Source organism: Homo sapiens, chromosome 1 (genome assembly GCF_000001405.40).
Source record: "Homo sapiens chromosome 1, GRCh38.p14 Primary Assembly".
In the NCBI taxonomy this organism is placed as follows: Eukaryota; Metazoa; Chordata; class Mammalia; order Primates; family Hominidae; genus Homo; species Homo sapiens.
The window spans coordinates 208,122,961-208,142,075 of record NC_000001.11 but is presented as its reverse complement, the minus strand read 5'-3'; the positions used below and the strand labels follow the sequence as shown (position 1 = coordinate 208,142,075).

General features: G+C 46.5%; 1 protein-coding gene and 1 long non-coding RNA gene across 4 annotated transcripts in view; one reads left to right on the top strand and one right to left on the bottom strand.

The window, feature by feature from the left end:
* PLXNA2 (plexin A2) overlaps positions 1-19,115 on the top strand; it is a 222,143-nt gene that overhangs the window by 102,309 nt on the left and 100,719 nt on the right. The gene's annotated exons all lie outside the window — the stretch shown is intronic.
* LOC124904500 (uncharacterized) lies at positions 8,335-15,554 on the bottom strand. Its single transcript, XR_007066851.1, has 2 exons — positions 15,445-15,554; positions 8,335-14,152 (listed from the first exon to the last, which is right to left on the bottom strand). It is a non-coding gene; the product is annotated as an uncharacterized LOC124904500 (long non-coding RNA).

The following is a 19,115-nucleotide window of genomic DNA, read 5'->3' as shown; positions in this document are numbered from 1 at the left end:
AGGCCAGACTGCGTGGAGCAGCTTGGTGTGATTAGGAGGTAGATTTACTGCTCTCAGGCCCACAGAGTCTGCTGCTCAAGGGAGCCAAAGAGGTGTAAATAATCCAGGCCTCTGGGCTGGGCCCACTCCTGGGAGAGGCAGACCCAAGACAGGGCCCCAGAAGGAAATAAAAATCTTGGCGTGAGTCTTAGACTGGTGCAGAGTATAAGCTGGTCAGCTCTGGGAAGCTGAAACCAGGCCTATGGAGATGGGAAGCCCTGAGAAATAGACTTCTACCCTCTGTAGGGAAACAGCTGAGCAAGTCTTCCACCCTCTGGGATGGATGGAGACTGTATTTCCTGTGAATATGTGTGAGTAGAGAGAAGGCAAATGCAGAGAGAGCCATGGTGAAGGGAAAGAGAAGCAGGGAAGGCAGGGGATTCATGAGATCGACAGAGACCCAGAAAGCTAGGCAAAGACCTTAGCCAAGCCGGACACATTCCATTCACTCGGTCAGTGGGTTAATAGTTGTTCAGCAGCAGCAGCAGGGGTCTTGTCATTTTTCTTAACAGGGTAAGTAAAATAAAGGCCAAAGAAATGAGGAAAAGGATTGCCAGTCTGTCCCAGCAGCTGAGGACACTGACTTAGGCTAGAGAAGGATGCTGGTAGAGCTGAAGGTCCAGAGAGCTTTCACAAGTTGCTTCCCAGCTCATGTCATTCTCAGAGAATTCTGCAAGAGTTCCAGGTGTCCTTGATCAAACTTACCCTTTCCAGAGCTCTCCTTACCTCCTTTCTTTTCTAATTTAAAAGGAGTCTGAATCAGGGGATGAGGGATGAGCGAAGAAGTAAGGAAGAGATAAGTGTGCACACGACAGCATTAAGGGAAGCAGTGATGCAGTTCTGAGTTGAAAATTAGTTCTTGAGGACAGATGACGTAAATCATACGATAATTGCATGCCAATTATATCCAGATCCTCTTGAACCCACCTGTCTTTTTCACCTTCTTTCATGTGGCCTCTGCCGTTGAAGTATAAACAGGTCCAGATGGGAATTTTGTGGATCTGTAGACAGCTTTGCCTAACCTAGAGTGGGTAAGACAGTCTTGGAAATAAACACTGACCTATCATTCCGATGAAACAGTCAGTGGGCCTAAAAAGAACTATTCCTGGGCACATATTTATTGGGAACAAAGTGCTGGGAATCATCAAAATGAATGAGACTTAGCCACTACCTTAAGTTGATTGCAATCTAACAAGAGAGAGACAGGTACCCAAATAGCCTAATAACATCAGATTGAATTCTATACATGCTCTTTTATCCTGTTCTTCTTTAAGGGAAAACATTATTTGTTTAATAAAAATTGTGGACGCTTGTTATACAAATTCAAGCAATGCATACAGAAAAGAAAACAGCAGAAGGTCACCAAATCTCACTACCCAAAATATAACACCATGTTAACATTTGATGAGCACCATTCCAGGCACTTATGCAGATATAGATACAGAAAAAAGGACAGGTAGATAGATGACAACCTATATTGGTGGATAAAACGATGAGCAGAGGTTAAATAGACTCACATTTTATGCAATGTTTTCAAGAGGCACTGTGTGTAGCAGAGGACCAGGCGGGTAGCTCTGGGTAAGAGCTCTTTCTTAGATTCTCTGAGCCCAGCAAAGTGGGAAGGAAGAAGTGACCAATGAGACCTTAGTGGGACCGAGAAGGTACCAAGGCATATATTTTAGCTGCATATCTTTTTATCCAATGAAACGCTTTCTGAAAATGCATTCAAAATGTATCCAAAGAAGAGGGGCTGGGTCAGGGCTGGAGGCAGATGAGTGGGTTTCAGAGAATATAATCACCTCCTAGATCCATATCTGATGCCATCTCTGAGACCATCAGCCTGGCCACACCAAGTGTCCACACAGCTTATCTGTAAATACCCCTCCTCTGTCCCACCTTCTGCTTCAGGTACCCAGTTCTTGTTACAGTCTACACCAAACAGAGGGGTTTAGCAGTAGCCAGCCACGATGAGCAGAGATAGGAAGAATTTGGGTTTCATGCCATGGGCTGCCTCTGGTCAAGTGAAATATTAGTAGGGGGAGCTCCCTGTACCAGATGGAGCTGTGATTACGAGGCAAAGTCTGAGGGGGATTTGTGGTGGAGCTCTGAGGCCTGTCACCTGGAGAGCCGTAAATTGTGTAGAAATAGGTAGCCAGGTGACTTCACCAGGGGCTCAGTCCAAAGCTGAAAGCCAAGAACAGCTCAGGAGGCCCATCTGTCTGAGGCCGGCTGTGAGTTAAGTACTCACAGACAGCTCAGATGTCTCCAAGGAAGCAGTTGAATGTGTGGCAGGAGAATAATCTGTCAAAATGAAGTCAGATGTCCTGGGTTCTAGTCCAGCTTGTGTTATCACTGATAGTAGAATCCTCTGACAGCTTTGGTTCCTCTTTTATAGCTGAGAGGAGTTGCATCAGATAACACCATATCTGAAGTCCATGGGTATGATTTGGACTTCATTTCACCATTCTCTATCTGAATGGCCTTGCACAAGTCACTTAACCTCAGTGTTTCTCACACAAGGTCAGTGTGAGGCTCAGCTGAGACAATAAAGGGGGAATTTCTTTTTATACTGCCCCACATGCCACATTCTATATGGCCCATTCTAGCTCTCATGCCTCATGATCCCATTTCTCAGGAGTATAGAGATGGTGTGTGATGAAGAGGGGGCAGGGGGACATGACACACCCAGTCATCCTCAGCCTGAGCCAGGAGATCTGTGTTCTAGGCCTGGCCCCATCTCTGACTTCAAGGGTAACCTGGGCCCTCAACTTCTCAGAGTCTCAGTTTCCTCATCTGTAAAGATGGAGATTATAAATCTAACTCTAAAGTCTCTTTCAGATCTTATAGAAATTTGTTTAAGGTCCTAGGATTGGGACTCTGCTCTGTCTCTCTCCAGAAGATGATACCAAAAGCACAAAAGATGGGCCTGAGACTAAACCAAAAGCAGTGTTCTCTTTTTCAATTTTTAATTTTAAAATTTTTTATTTTGTTTTGTTTTGTTTTTGAGACAGAGTCTCACTATTGCCCTGTCACCCAGGCTGTGGTGCAGTGGCATGACCTTGGCTCACTGCAACCTCCGCCTCCTGGGTTAAAGCGATTCTTCTGCCTCAGCCTCCTGAGTTGCTGGGATTACAGGTACATGCCACCACACACAGCTAATTTTTGTATTTTTAGTAGAGCCGGGGTTTTGCCATGTTGGCCAGGTTGCTCTCAAACTCCTGACCTCAAGTGATCCACCTGCCTTGGCCTCCCAAAGTGCTGGGATTACAGGCATGAACCACCATGCCAGAGCAATTTAAAATTTTTTTTATGGAAATAGAGATGGGGTTTCACCATGTTGCCCAGGCTGGTCTCGAACTCTTGGGCTCAAGGGATCCGTCCACCTCGGCCTCCCAAAGTCCTGGGATTACAAGCGTGCGCCACTGCGCCCGGTCAGCATAATGTTCTTAAGGAGAGATTTATGAGGCCACATGTGCTCATATGAGCATCTTCGCTGAAGGGTCAACATTGTAGAGAAAGCTGGAATGCTGGTTTGGTTATGGATATGTACACATGCTCTCGACTTATGATGGGGTTGCCTCCTACTCAAGCCATTGTAGGTTGGAAATATTGTAAGTCAAATACATGTTTAATACACCTAACCTCCCAAGCTCATAGCTTAGCCTCACCTACCTTAAACATGCTCAGAACACTTATCTTCACCTACAGTTGGGCAAAATCATCTAACACGAAGCCAACTTTATAATTAAGTGTTGAATATCTCATGTAATGAATTGAAGAGTGTACTGAAGGTGAAGGAGAGAGTGGCTGCATGGATACTTGAAGTACAATTTCTACTGAATGTGTATTGCTTTCACACCACTGTAAAGTAAAAAAACCATAAGTTGAATCATCGTAAGTTGTCTATTTTCCTACTTTGAGACAGCAATTTAAGACTTTCAAGTTCTCTAAAAGTCCTGAGACCTTTTAAGATATCATGGGAATGGGTTTTTCATCATTTCGCTCTAAAACAAATCTCTGGGCAACCTACTCTCATCCCTGTCTTCCACCCTGCCCCAACCCTTGCCTCTCTGTTCCCCCACCCATCCTCCAAACATGACACATGTAATATTCTTGGGGCCGTGAGAGTGGAACACATAGTGAGAGTAAAACCAAGTCTCTGGTCTTACATTCTGCCTAGAGAGGTTTTCATCTCCCCACAGAGCTAGAACAATCCAATATAGCACTCATGTATTCTCTTTCACTCTCAATTAATTAATTAAATGTAATTAAGAAATAGGACTAGTAAGTGTTGGGTCGTTAGTGTCACTGCCTAACAAGTCAATGGTAATGTACTGTTAATAGATCTAAGACCGGCCAGTCCCAGGGGAAAATTTGGGAACTGATTCCCCAATCCTATTAATTGCCCAGGTGCTCCACTGAGAGGATGCCTGGCTCTTTCCTAGAAAGTCTGCCCCAGCTTCACTGACAGCGAATCAGCAGATGTTATGGGCATGCATACAAGTTGCTCCCATATCCTCAGTGTGTAATGGAAGTCAGACAGCGAGTCAAGGGAAAATCAGGCTATGAGCCAAGTGAAAAACCAAGCAACAAGATGAAAAGAAACTTGATAGCCCCAGTTTTCACCCAACTTGTCAGGCTGGCCACTCCTAGAAAAGGAGTATAAATCTATACACAGGGTGGATGGGAAAAGAGTATAGGGATGGAAGCAATTATTCTATTTTATACTTTAATTAGTTTGCATTAGCAGAGGGAATAGAGGCATGAAATGATCCAGCGAAGGGTGAAATGGAAAAAGGGAGTCACAGTGGAGAATGGCTCCGTACAGACTGGAAAGGGCCTTGGGAACAGCAGAAAGGATGGTGATGGGTGTGTGTGTTTGGAGTGGGTGCTGGGGCATGGGATTCTGTTCTCTACTTCAAGGCCTGGAGAGGCAAAATAGCATAGATGTTAAGAGCTGGCCCGTGGGAGTCAGGCCAACCTCCATTCCATAGACACTTACTAAGTATATGGTTTTGATAATGTTATTCAACTTCTCTAAACCTCAGTTTGATCATCTGTGTAATGGGCCTAATGCAATTGTTGTGAGGATTGAGAGAATGCATATAAATCACCCAGCATCATGTCTGACACATAGTGTTTTCAAAAGGTGGTGGTAATTATTATTACTAGTAGTAGTCTTAGAACTTCTTTGGAACTTCAGAAAGGGCTAGAAACATCTCCACCACAAATTATGGCTGGCACAGAGTTCCCAGTTTCAGGCAGTGGCCTCCAACTGCCATTCCTCCTGCTTACTCCCAAGCGCTGCCTCAGAAGCCTCTGGCCTGGCCAAATGACAGCACTGAGCTGAGTCTCCCATAATCTGGTATTTATTTTAAAAATCCAGGAATGTGCCTGGCAGACTAAACAGTCCCGCTCCCCTCAATATACAGGCAGGCAGCCCCAGGCCGATGTGTGAGGCCAGAAGGCCAGGATAGCAGGCATCTGTGGAGAGAAGGGAGGAGGAACCTGTGAGCCTGGGGCTGCATGCATGGACACCGGGCCAGAAAGGGAATACCTATGGGGCTTTTCATTTCTGGTTTCTCCACGTAAGTAACAAAGTCTCACGCTCATTGTGAAAGATGGGTCTGCCACTCTCCAGGTAGTGAACATTCAGACCCCAGTTCCGAATGTCCTAGATGTACTAGTAGTTGGCACACTGTTCTGGTTATTTACTGCTTTGTAACAAACCACCCCCAGGTTTGGGGATATTTTTAAAAACACATTTTATTATGCTCAAAGACTGTGTAAGTCAGGAATTCAGATACGGTGCACTGAAGACGGCTCATCTCTATTCTATAATGTCTGCAGCCTCTGCTAGGATGACACAAATGGCTGGGACTGACTAGAAGGACAAGGGGCTAGAATCATTTGGAAGCTTCTCCCCCTACATGTCTGGGAAGTGGAAGCTGGGATCAGTTGGGACTGTTGACCACAGTGCCTTAGACAAGTCCCTGCCATGTGTGTTGGGCTTCCTGACAGCAGGCGGCCCCCAAGACAGTCAGAATTCTTGCTTGTGGCAGCTGAGGACTCCAAGAGTGAGTACTCCCTATAATGAGGTAGAAATTGCATCGCCTTTTTGTGACTTGGCTTTGGCAGTCACGCAGTCGGTCTGCTTGCCTCTTCCCTCTGCTGCCCAACACCCATGTGATTCTGATGCGTGTGGTCCATGAACACACATTAAGAACATGATTCCCCAGCTACCAAGGTCATGGAATCACAGAGCATCAGAGCTGGTAAGGACTGTAGAGAGCACCCATTCTGACCCCAGATAAGAAAGACGAGGCCCAGAGAGCACCCTGTTTAGCTGCCCCATCAGCATTGTGCAACACCCAACGCCCAGCTGGAGTCATCAAAGCTGGACTGATTTCTTCAAACATGTGGGGAAGTACTGACAACTTTAAAGCTTGCTGTTGATTTGCTGAAGGTTGTGTAAGTCCTACCTGAGGTCTATCAAATGCCTGTGGGCCCTGAAAATGCTTTCAGGAAGGGTTTGCAGGAATCCATCAGTAGCAGGATCACACTGCCTGGAAATTTTCCCATGGAGGGTATGCTGCTTATAAATAGCTCTCCAGGCAGTCTTCCTGTGGCAATATTGTCTCATCTTGCACAGGAGCAGGCCTCTCAGTGACTTACCTTCAGTATGTGGGGGAGTGGGACCTCATCCCCATGGATTACAGGAAACTGGCTTTTTAACCACATCTGTTTAACGTAATTTAAAAGAGTTGGGGCAAGGAGACTGTCAGCTTGGAGTTTCAGAAACAAAAATTATTTGGAAAGATTGTAAAGCCACCCTTTCCTGAAGGTCTTAAATGCAGGAGAGACCCCCCACCACCCCCTAAGAAATTCTCTGCATTGTTTGAAGACCCTACGCAGTATCTGGGGAGAGATGGAAGGACAGGCCAGACCCTTAGCATACCATCCACCAATGTCCAGCAGCTGCACCAGAAAACTAATTGTGGTTTCCTCCATTTGGAGGAGGCCCTGTCAACTACTAACCCGGATCTAGAACCAAAAATAAGAATCCTTTTCAGAGGTGCTATTGTGATACATGGGGCAGTAAGTCTTCTACCTGTAGCCAAAGCTACTGAACTGTTAAGTCCCTAAGGCACCTAAAGACCTTGGGGAAGGGAAAGAAAAAACGTGGGGAGTCACACTTCCAGATGTCCCCTGCTCATTTATTTTGACATCTCAGACTATTATTTTGATTGTGCACATTTGTTTAGTCCAGGCGATAAGGCTTCCCAGGGTGCAGGCAGAGCATGCCAAGGTGTATTTTTACAAGGCGGGCAAGGACTCAGTAACAGGAGACCTCCCTTCTGCCTGGGCTGGGAGGCCTTGGCTGAGCCTCTGGGGAGGAGGGAATGTGAGGGGGCAGGGAGGAGAGTTGAGCCTGAGGGACTTTGGGGAGAATTACAGAGTTTGCGGATTAGGAAAGTGAGGATAAGCGAATTGCTGCTGCACTTTTGTTTTAAAATGTGTCACTTTCAATCCAAGGCTTTGATGCACATGTGTTTCTGGTTAAGGATGCAGGACCCCAGTGTGGCCCAGGAGCTGAGCACTCACATCAGTGCCTTTCCCAAAGAAAGGGCGGAGTCCTGCCTCCCACCTCCCGGGGCTGTGGGTGCAGGCAACAATGACCACCTCAAACCCGGGTTTTGATTTTTTCCTCTTTCTTTCCCCCATTTCAAATGTCAAGGAACAAAGAGGCTGATAGGGAGCTGATTCTCTGGCTATTAATATTCTCATCGGAGTATTTTTTTTAAATAAATATTTTCACATGAGGGAAAGGCAATGCAAACCCACCCTATTAATCAGACACTTGGCTTGCTGTATTTAAGAGAGAAAACTCCAGCCTCTTATTTTGAAATCCTTTGGTTTGGAAAGAAATGATTGAATACAATGCCCAGGCTGGGAGAAGTGGTGCCAAAAACCTCATTTCTCTAAATGGGCAAGGGGGTTGGAGACTCTCTAATCCTTGATGAGGGATTTGATTTTTCTTTCTAGATAGGTATTGCTGAAGGATGACACTGACTGCCCAGAATCATGTTCCTATGACCAGGAGATGGGAAGTTACAGTGTCTCACCAGAAGGAAACTTACCCTCCTTCATTCTTTTAAATATGGGGAAACTGATGCCTCCAGAGAGGAAAGTCATTTGCCTAGGCCATCATCTGAATTACCAGAAGAATCAGGGTAAATCCTGAGTAACCTGGTCTAGCCCAGCATCCTTTCCCAACTTGACAACAGTTTCACTCAGCACAGACAAGAGTGAACACTGTGTTTAAAAACTTTTAATTAGCAACATTAAAACAACCTAGGCCCAAGAGAGTTCCTGAAGATGTTCCGAAGGGTCAAATTAAAATAGGGAAAGATTTGCATATTGTTTGCATATGCAGACTCATTCATTCAATAGACCATTAAGTGTTGACCATGTATAATGCATAGAGCTGTCCACTGACAAGTCATTTGCATATGTAGATATAGATAGGGCTGTCTTTCTAAGTAATATTCCAGCAAAAGTCTCCTTCTAAATAGGGCTGCCAGGAAGATAAGTACCTTCTTGATTTCTTTTTGCTGTTTTCAATGCAACAATAGCACTATTACGTATGCTTTTGTATAGCAAAAAATAAAATAGAATCCCTGCCCTCAAGGTGGTCAAATTCTGGAGAAGCGCAATGATGTATAGATAAATCACAAGATAAGGTTATTTATTTGTACATCAGAGCAATGCTGTAGAAGAGATGTACTATGTATTCAATGATTAAAGTAACTCATAAACGCATACCACCAGGAAGGGACCTGTCCTGGTTCCCTCCCTAATTGGGGTCACTCGGGGGACTCACCCTCTCCCTAACACAAGAATCCAGAGCTGGTTTATCCAGAGATTCTCTAGTGAAGAGCAGCCCTTTATTTTACAGAAGAGGAGATGAGAGGTCTGAGGGGGCAGTGACTCCGGAGAAGAAAGGGTATACCAAGCCGAATGTGGAGAAGCAGACAATGATTGACTATCAGTAGTTTCCTGACAGCCATGGGGAGCAGCCAGCCTGGGTTCAAGCCCTGGCTCTACTGCTTACTGCCATGTGACCTTGGGCAAGTTGCTTCACCTTTCTGTGCTTCAGTTACCTCACCTGTAAAATGGGCATAATTATGGCATCTGTTTGAAGATTAAATTAATTAATGCATAAAAAGCACTCTGAAAAGTACCAGGAACCTACTACCCGCTTAGTAAATGGTAGTAGTAGTAATTATATTTTTACAGTTGTGCCCCCATACATCATCATCAGGCCAAGCCCTGCAGGTCATGCTTTGCAAACAGCCACACCTAAAAAAAGCTTAACCACCCTGCCTTGCCTCTCAGCCCTACCTTATTTAAGCTGTGTTGAAATCTAACTAATATTTTTGCCGTGTTTTTCTTATTTTAGTTTACAAACATGGCCTCAGCTAATACACCAGTCCTATGAGATAAGTATTATTGTCCTTGCCTTTTTTTAACAGATAACAAAACTGAAATTCAAACTGACTAAGTAATTTGCCCAGGGCCACCAAGCTGTCCAACAGCAGGGCTGGGACTCCACCCCACACCTCTGAAGCCAAATCCACACCTCTTCAGCTTCCTGAGACAGCGCCCCCTGGCTGCCCTGTGGCTGCAGAAGGCTCCTCCCCTCCTGCTCTCCCCACACCCGGCTCCCAGTTAGGAAAAGGGTTCAGAGGCGGCTTTCTGGGCTCCAGGAGGCCAGCACAGACTCAGTAACTCCTCATTTGACACCTTCAAGGAGATTGGAGTAGTGCACTGTTTAGTTTAAAAAACCAATAAAGGAAAGCAAGCACTGCCCCGGGCCCTACATGGACAGTCAGGGGAAATGCCTCTGCAGGTGGTCAGAATGCAGGGAGAAAAAGCACCTCGCCCCAGGAAGTTACCGCGGAGTTTCTCCTGCGCAGCCAGCCAAGCGCCTCACGAGCATGATCTCCCCTCTTCACAAGAACCTGGGAAGACAGGTATTATCTCCCCCGTTTGACAAATGAGGAAGGCCAGGTGCAGCAATGTTGAGGGATCTGAGCTAGGTGTGTCTATGACTTTTAGGAGGCATAGCCGGGAGTGAGGAGCCTGTCTGTGTGGCTGCAAAGCTCCTGGACTGCTCGCCCTCCCCTAGCACCAGGAGAGCCCATGCAGAGACCCCAGCGGGAGACATCATGACTCCTCTGCATATTTTCTTACCCCCATCCAAAGCTCGTCGGTCTGGCAAAGGAAAAACCTTTTCAAGGAGGGCAGCTGCAGAACACATGTGAGGCATTGAAGCCCCGATTCAGCTTCTCTGGTGCTGTTTCAAGTGTGAACCATGCAAACCCATATCAGCTCAATCCCTGGCCCTAAGTAAGAGGTTCTCAGACTCAAGAAAGCCTCCTGTGTTCCCCATCTTAAGTCTTATCCAGCCAGACACAGGGGGCCCCGGAATGACACCCCAGAGCTCTGCAGCCTGCTTTTCAGCTCCTTCCAGGAGCGCTCCCTTGTGTTCCCTGCGTTGAGTTTCAGTAATTGAATGTGTTTTATTTAGACCATAACATTTAGTGCCACTTTGGATTTCCAATTAGGCTTCAATCAGATGCCGAGAGTCTGATTCGTTTTGTTGTTTTGATCAACACGAAAGATGGCAACATCAGAGGAGCCGTCATGAAAAGTTACTGCCATCCACTGATGACTAGGACGGTTTCTGTAGTGTGAAGATGCAGGTTCAGAGGTGTCGAGAGCGGCACCATGCATCAGGAAGAGGGGCAGAGGCAAAGGGGAAGTCAGTGAACCCCTGGAGACAAGCGCAATTGGAAGTCCTGGGGTGCGTGGCCGGGACTTGGCAAGGTCCCTCTGTATGTGGGCCAGGGCTCTGGGTGCCCCTGAGGGAGGGGAAAGGTGTTGGTCTCCACCCCAGCAGATTTCTCATACAAATGGTTCAGGCTTGAACAGCTCCTCTCAGGCCTTTTATCCAGGGACATCTTTGTGAACACAGGGTTCCCATGAAGTGGGAAGCTGACCACCACTTTTTGATTTCTTTAGTGAAGGCCTCTGAACTCCTCAGCCAGAAGTGACCAGCTGTACTCATTTACAGAAATATGTGGGGGGCTTTTTCTCACCACCTGTGAGTTCTGGCCAGCCACTGGCACATGCTGTCTGTCAGATAAGGTTTCTCAATGGGGTTGATCCTAGGGACAAAATTTGGAATCCAACTTTGAACTGCCAGGGAGTTTGTTGCGGGAGGGAGGTGGCAGGATGGCAGAGGGGTGATGGGAGAGTGGCCGGGGAGGAGTAGGTAAGAGTCTGCCTGTGCCAATCATCAAGAGTCACTCACCACACATCTGAGTCAAGGTCAACTGGAGCCTCATTTTCCCCATTGATAAAATGTGTTTGAATGCCCCTTGCGGCAATGACATTGGGTGCATTCCTTCTAGCCATGAATGTGTATGGAATGGAGGCTGTGTGCACAGCGCTCGGAGGCTGACCTGGGTTCGAGTATGCATGTGCTTGTGAGAACAGAAGTTGGTGGGGTTGGTGAGTGAGATGAGAGCAAACGTTCCTGTGTGTTCTGGGGGTGTTAGTGTCTACACTATGTTAGTGTTAGTGTCTTCACTATGTTAGTGTTAGGCTCTTTCATATGCCATTGCATGTACCCACTGGGGGAAATGTGTGTTCAAGCCCTTCTCCTCCCAGCTTTACACTGTTTTTAGAGCCCAGCTTGGCTGCATTTCCAGCTGGCCCTTTGATCTTTCTGTAGCAGGCCAGCTCAGGGACTCAGCTTTTCAGCCGCAATCTCCACTTCATAGAGTGCATGCCTTGTGGTTAAGTTCCCTGAGCCTTTGCCACTGTGCCTCAAGTTACCTCCCTCACCTCACCTTGTTCCCCCCAGTTATGACTGGTCCCCACCTTGCAAACAGGTTGGGGTTTGAAACTCCCACCAGGTGATGAGAAGGCTGACTGTGTCATCAGCTGTTGGTGACTTAGCAAACAGTCTGGGTTCAGCCTCTGTCCCTCAACTAATATTTAATTATAAGAAAGAGGTGGGCAGAGATGCAAGCCAGGTAGAAGGAAGACAGGAGAGGGAAGAATGAACTGAGATGAAAAAAATGTTCTAGCCACTTAGCCATTAAATAGCTCATCAAACAGCCTTTGAGGACCAACTGTGCTCACAGCAAAGAGCTTATCCTTGCACTATCACACATACATATGGAAAATAGACAAGTAAGTAGTGAGTTACAATACAGTATGCAGAGTGCTGGGATTACAGGAGAGGGCACCACCCAATATAGCCTGTGAGTCAAGGAAGGCTTCCTGGAGGAGGTGATGCTCTAGGTGAATCGTGAGAGGGGAGGGGCTCACCCAGTGGAATAAAAAAGCAAAGAAATATTGTTCAAGTTAAGGAAAGCTTGGGAGTGTGAGAGAGTTTGGTATATTCAAGGACTATTTCCCAAAACTTGATACTGGCAGAGCTGAAGGCAAGGATTAGGAGGCATCCATCCTCACAGAATTTCTGCAGCATGCAGGTGAGCAGCCTTCAGGGGGGCTCAATCCACCCACCTTTCCTAAGAGGGATTCCCCCAGCCCCAGCTGCTACAACATAGAACTTGGTAGGAAGCCATCATGCACCCAGCCCCTGGTGCTCTCTGTGGCAAGCTCACCAGCAGGTCCTCTGGACATACCCTGTATCTAAGTAACATCATCAGGAAAAAAGATGCTAGCTCTGGCAGAGCTCCAGTGCTGAAGCCCGTTGTAACCTTGCCAATCCCCTCCCCTCAGGACAGCCATTTCTCTGACTGTACAGCAAGGAAGATCTCTGCCCATCCCAGGTTCATGGAAAGAGGATAAAGGAAATGAGATAGTGCACCCATTTCAGGCATTCATTGTATCATTTCTGCAGCATTTATTACAGGCAGAGACCTTGCCTGTCTGGGCTGCTTCTGTCTCCCCAAGAGATACCACAGCATTTGGTACTTAGTAGGTACTCAAGAAACACTAGGGCTGGGCGCAGTGGCTCACGCCTGTAATCCCAGCACTTTGCGAGGCTGAGGCGGGTGGATCACGAGGTCAGGAGACCATCCTGGCTAACACGGTGAAACCCCGTCTCTACTAAAAATACAAAAAATTAGCCAGGCATGGTGGCGGTCACCTGTAGTCCCAGCTACTCGGGAGGCTGAGGCAGGAGAATGGTGTGAACCCTGGAGATGGAGCTTGCAGGGAGCCGAGATCGCTCCACTGCACTCCAGCCTGGGGGACAGAGAGAGACTCCATCCCAAAAAAAAAAAAAAAAAAAAAAAAGAAAGAAACAGGAAACACTTGTTGGAGCTTAGGAAGAAAGAGAGGAGGGGGAAAAAGGAAACAAAGGAAAATATCTATGAAAAGGAGGCATTCTAGTTTACTGTAAGGCCTCATCTTGGGAGGCAATTAGAATTGTATTCAAATCTTGGCTCTATCACTCTTTGATATGGCCTAGCGTATCCTCTCTAAGCCTTGGTCTTGTCTTCTGTAAAGTGGGGATAACAATAATACCTACCTGATAGGACTGCTGAGAAGGTGAAATCCCTATACAATGCCTGGGACAGTGTGAGAGCCAAACCCTCAGCCATGGCTCTAGCTAAGCCCTGTGTTTTCTCCCTGCCTCCAAGGTAATCTCCCTCTTTCACTACCATGGAGTCCCCCACAACTAACACGTTGCCCATTTTTCATCCTTAAGTCATCTGCCAGTTGCATCTATTTCTAGCCTCTGTCTTATGAGACAAGAATAAGGAAGGAAAACAGATAACTGTGGAGGCTCATTTGCCAGTTGTCAGCTCCTGCCGTCAGCTGGGCTCTCTTGTCTGCTTCTCCCTGGGTGCCTGGAAAAATCATTGTGACCTTTTATTTACTGGTTGATCTAGTCAGTTCTTGGCTCCGGATCTCTCTGCCCGCCCCTCAGGCTCCCCGCAGCTCTCCCAGCCCTCCATCAGCCAGTGTGGGTTCCCTGACTCCCAGGCAGAATCATGCTGCAAGATGGGCAGGCTGTGCTGGGCCCTCGGAGCCTGCCTGTCTTCATGATCAGATTCCTAAAAACCTGTGGGCACAGAGAGGAGGGGCAGTCAGAGCTATTGATCTTCCCTACTCGCTGCTCCCGCCAGGGGGGATTTCTACTGCAGATTCTCTCCTGCAGGCCTCTTCTTCTCACCCCGTTTTACTGAGCAGCTAAACTGAGCTTGAGGCTAGCGAGTGGCTGCCCCGGAGTTACTCCGTAAGTCAGCAGCATACTCTCTCTCTTGGCCCCTCATCCAACTTTTTGAGCTTTACCAGGTTGTTTTCATCCTTTTCCCTTCATCCTCTTCTACTCCCTACATCAGCTCCCAGCCCGGCTGGCTGGCCATGGCCAGCAGCTATTTCTGCTTTTCCTTCTCTTTCTCCCTGGGACCAGCCATGCATTTCTCTGCAGCTCCTCTGAGCCAATTGGACTGAGGTGTGCACCTCGGGAAGTGGAGGGTGGCTGTTGGGAATAGGGACAATTGTAGTGGTGACAAGGAGACAGGAGGCTAACAAGTGTGTGCTGACAAGAAGACATGCCACATTGGTCCCTGGAAGGCCAGGAATGAGCCAGGCAGACCCAAACTATGTCTTGATTGGCTGCAGGAGTTAATGGTGTATACAGCATAAATGTGACCTTTTATTTACTGGTTGTGAGTAAATAAAAGGAGTATGTGTATGTATGTGTGTGTACATGCACACATATGTGTATCATACCCAAATCAGCTTCTGCAAAAACAATCATCCAAGGTAGAGTATGGCTTTCTCACTCCATTTTCTTCAGGCCATCTCCTTGGACTTCCCAAAGTTTTCATTGCCCATGTTGGAATTGGCAAGCCTTATGCCTCCCTCAAATTTGGAGAAAGGAGTTTTAAAAGCCTCTTGTGCAAGTCAGCTCCCTGCTTCCCAAGCTCTCTTCTTGGCCCTTGCTGTCAGCATCAATTTTCTGCAGGGAGTGATTTAACCTTCGTTTATTCATTAATTCCTTTTTCCTCTTAACTTCATTAGGTAAGTTTTATAAAGGTGCTGAATTGGAAAGGTCACCTGTCCCTGGGCCCAGGACACAGTGTGCCTGCCTCTCTTCTTGTGTGCTTCCTTTCAGGAGTGCTTCTGAGGTAGGGAGGTGAGGAGAGTAGCAGAAGAGAGAGTGAGAGCAGGGCCTGTGCTCTGGGAAGGCAGGGCAGGCAGGAAGATACCATAGGCTCTGAACACGCTTCCAAATTGCCTGCTTACTGTTGGGAGGCAGGATGGCATGGTGGGGAGGATAGGCTCTGTGTTAGGCACATCTGGAGTCCTGGCACTACCCTTCCTAAGCATCAGCCTTCCCCAAGTTACCTGTCCTCATTAAGCCTTCGGTTTCCTCTTAGAAAAACTGTCAATAATGCTAGAATCCACTCCATCAGGTTCTTGCAAGGATTAAATGAGATGCTTCATGAGCATAGTGCCTAGAACACAGCAAACATTCAACAAACAAATTGAACATCTTTTTAAAAAGATCTTCAGTTTTCCAATACAAGCCTTGGTAGCACTGGGCAGTCATTGGATCATGGACCACTAGAGACTAGTGTGCAGAAAGTCTATTTGATTCCCCCAGGCAAGCTAAGCCCACATAGTCTGTGACTGACCCTATCTCCAGAACCACAGGAAAAGCCTGTGGTTTCCTCATGGGGGAGCCAGAAAGAACCAAACCACCCCATGGGGTCAAGGTTGCTTCCCAGGGTCTAACAGATTTCTGCAGAGAGTTAGGGTAAGCTAGCCTCCTGCTCACTGCTGTCACCCTCTGAGACCCACCCACCAATCGTTCATGGTCGTGGGCCTTTTTTCAAGTCCCTGAGGCCTGCTGGGCTCAGCTGCTAACCATCTCATCTTAAGGAGCTGTCTCTCTCATTGCCAGCCTCCCTGGAAGGAGGGGATGCAGTACAGACTAAAGAGCATGCAGGTGTTTTGAACTTGCACAAAGGTCAGAATATCTGCCTGCTGCCATCTCCATGTTGTCTTTCCTCCTGTGACCGCAACAGAGCTCAAAACCATCTCAATCCACCCCAATCACAGTGAATTCAGTCCTCTGAATTTCTCTAACTCTTATGGTAAAACTGCCTGTCCGGATCTATCCATGTGGTGTCTTCCCCCATCAGGCTTTAAGCTACTTGGGGAGCGGATGCAGGTTGGAAGCAGCCTATCCCCTCCCAGGGCCATTTGTGCAGCCAGAACTCAATCAGGTGTTTGAGAAAATAATTTTAATAGAAAAGTACAGAGGAAAGCGGGCAGGCAAACCTGTTCTGTGTGCCAAGCTGAGAATATTCGGTTTGAATATGATCACAGAGGATTACAAGAATTAATTTTATTTTATCTAATATGCTTCGAATTGGGCTTCTGGAATTCAACATGCAAATGTATGCTCCTAGTGCAAATTGGAGCATGCCCAGATTAATGGAGAAAATTCTCATCACCTTGCTTTTCTCAGAATGCGATTTCTCTCACCTGGGATCACTTATTTGTTTGCCAAGGATGAACCAAGGGGTAAATTCTGATGGAGGAAGGAATCTGAGGGCTGGGTAAATCTAACCAGTGCCTTCCCCATGGCAGATGGAATGAAGAGAGATGCTGAGCAGTGGATGACAGCCCTTCAAAGAGCATGGGGACTTCAGGGCAGTAGCCATGGGAAGTCCAAACTGCTCCTCTGGTCCCAGACCAGCCTTCACTGGTATACAGATCACTTCAAACGCATTGTGTTAGTTCCTGTTATCCTCACCTCCCGGATTTAATGAGATTCTTGGGCATCGTTAATAAACAATGCCTGACCTTTTTAGAGTGGCAACATTATATTATTTCATGAAATATGGCCCTACACAAAAGGCCATTTGGTATAGTTATTGTTACATTTTGAAGTGAATTTGGGTCTAATAATGAATTTGGTTCTGAGACTTTCACAGTATCCATTGAGAAAACCGGAGATACTAGTCACTGAATAGCCTAAATAGAAAGTGACCAGTGTTTATACCCGAATGTCATGGCTATACCCCATTCTCTGAGCTTCTGCCCTCGTTCTCTAGCTGTGGCCTATACCATTACTGCCGTGCCTGGCCACTAAGGACGCTGTGACACCAGCTTGGCCTAGCTGTGGACAATTTCCTCTCCCTATAATTCAAGCTAAATCAATATTTGAATGTATAGGAAAGAAAGAAGGCCTCACATGTATAGGAAATTTATTTTCTCAACCCTCTTTAGTTGGGCTTGCCTAAAACATAGGGTATCTCTGGTTCTTTTTTTTTTTTTTTTTTTTTTTTGAGACGGAGTTTTGCTGTTGTCGCCCAGGCTGGAGTGCAATCACATGATCTTGGCTCACTGCAACCTCTGCCTACCGGGTTCAAGGGATTCTCCTGCCTCAGCCTCCCAAGTAGCTGGGATTACAGGCGCCCGCCACCACGCCCAGCTAATTTTTGTATTTTTAGTAGAGATAGGGTTTCGCCATGTTGGCCAGGCTGGCCTTGAACTCCTGACCTCAGGTGATCTGCCCGCTTCGGCTTCCCAAAGTGCTGGGATTACAGACGTGAGCCACCGTGCCTGGCCTGGTTCTACTTTTTAAAACAACTTTTATTTAAGGTTCGGGGGTACATATGCAGGTTTGTTATTTAGGTAAACTCGGGTCATGGGAATTTGTTGTACAGATTATTTCATCACCCAGGTACTAAGCCTAGTACCCAATAGTTGTTTTTTCTGCTCCTCTCCCCCTTCCCTCCCTCCACCCTCAAGTAGGCCCCAGTGTCTGTTGTTCCCTTCTTTGTGTTCATGAGTTCCCTTCATTTAGCTCCCACTTGTAAGTGAGAACGTGTGATACTTGGTTTTCTATTCTGACAACCACTGGATTGGTTCTACTTTTTATGAAGTTCAGTTTCTTTACCAGTGGCCCTAGACTAACATCTAGTGGCCACGGGGCAATGTTGGTAGACGTCAGTGCAGAGTGAAGCTGCACACACAACATAGGCTTTAAATAGTTTCTCTCTCTGGGGTCAACTAGATGGAATAGATACCTGGTCATTCCCGTAACTCTCCAAGTAGCTTCCCTTAGGGACACATCTCACTTCAGTTATAGAAGAAAGGTGGTTTATGTTTTCTAAGTCCAATGACTAGCCGCGTCCTTTTCAATCCAGATTAGAAGCTCCTCCAACCTCAGAAACTGCGTTTGGCCCAAGGGTACTGCTTTCTGCTTTCCCGCATCCTAAGGCTACAGTCTTAACATATAAAATTACTTTAAACATAAACAATGACAGATAACCATTAGAGGAGAGTCATTCTTTTACATTGTAAAAATTGAACTGGGAATTGTCACTTTGGAGAGGTAAGAGAGAGACATATGGACAGACTACCAGGAGACCCTTATTTGTCTCTTAACATTAAATCTAAATCATAAAAACCAAGAGACAAGAGACCCTTACACTTGGAGCCTATTTCATTTTCTTTTTTTCATGAGAGGTGTGTGGAGGGTGCAAAAGGCCCACACTCGAAAACATCATTTCACTGTGCTTCGGTTTCCCTGATGGTAAAAATGAAAGAATCCAGCTGCCTGATATCTTAAGTGTGTATATTAATGACTAAACTGGATCAGTGGGATTTCTTGGGGTGAACAGTGGGACAGTTTCCATCATGACACTTGCTTATGTGGGAGGATATTAAGCTCCTTTCTTTCACCTTCTTGCCTCTGAATTAGGAAATTTAGGAAGTTACTAACATAGGCTACAATATGGATGAACCTTGAAAACATCATGCTAGAAGCTAGTCACAAAGGATCACGTACTGTATGATTCCATCTCTATGAAATGCCCAGAATAGGTGAATCCCTACAGACAGAAAGTCGATTGGTGTTGCCTAGGGCTGGGGCAGGCAGGAGGGAATGGGAGTGACTACTAATGGGTATGGGGTTTCTTTTGGGGGGATGATGAAAGTATTCTGAAATGGATTGTGCTAATGGTTGTACAGTTCCTGAATATACAAAACACCATTGAATT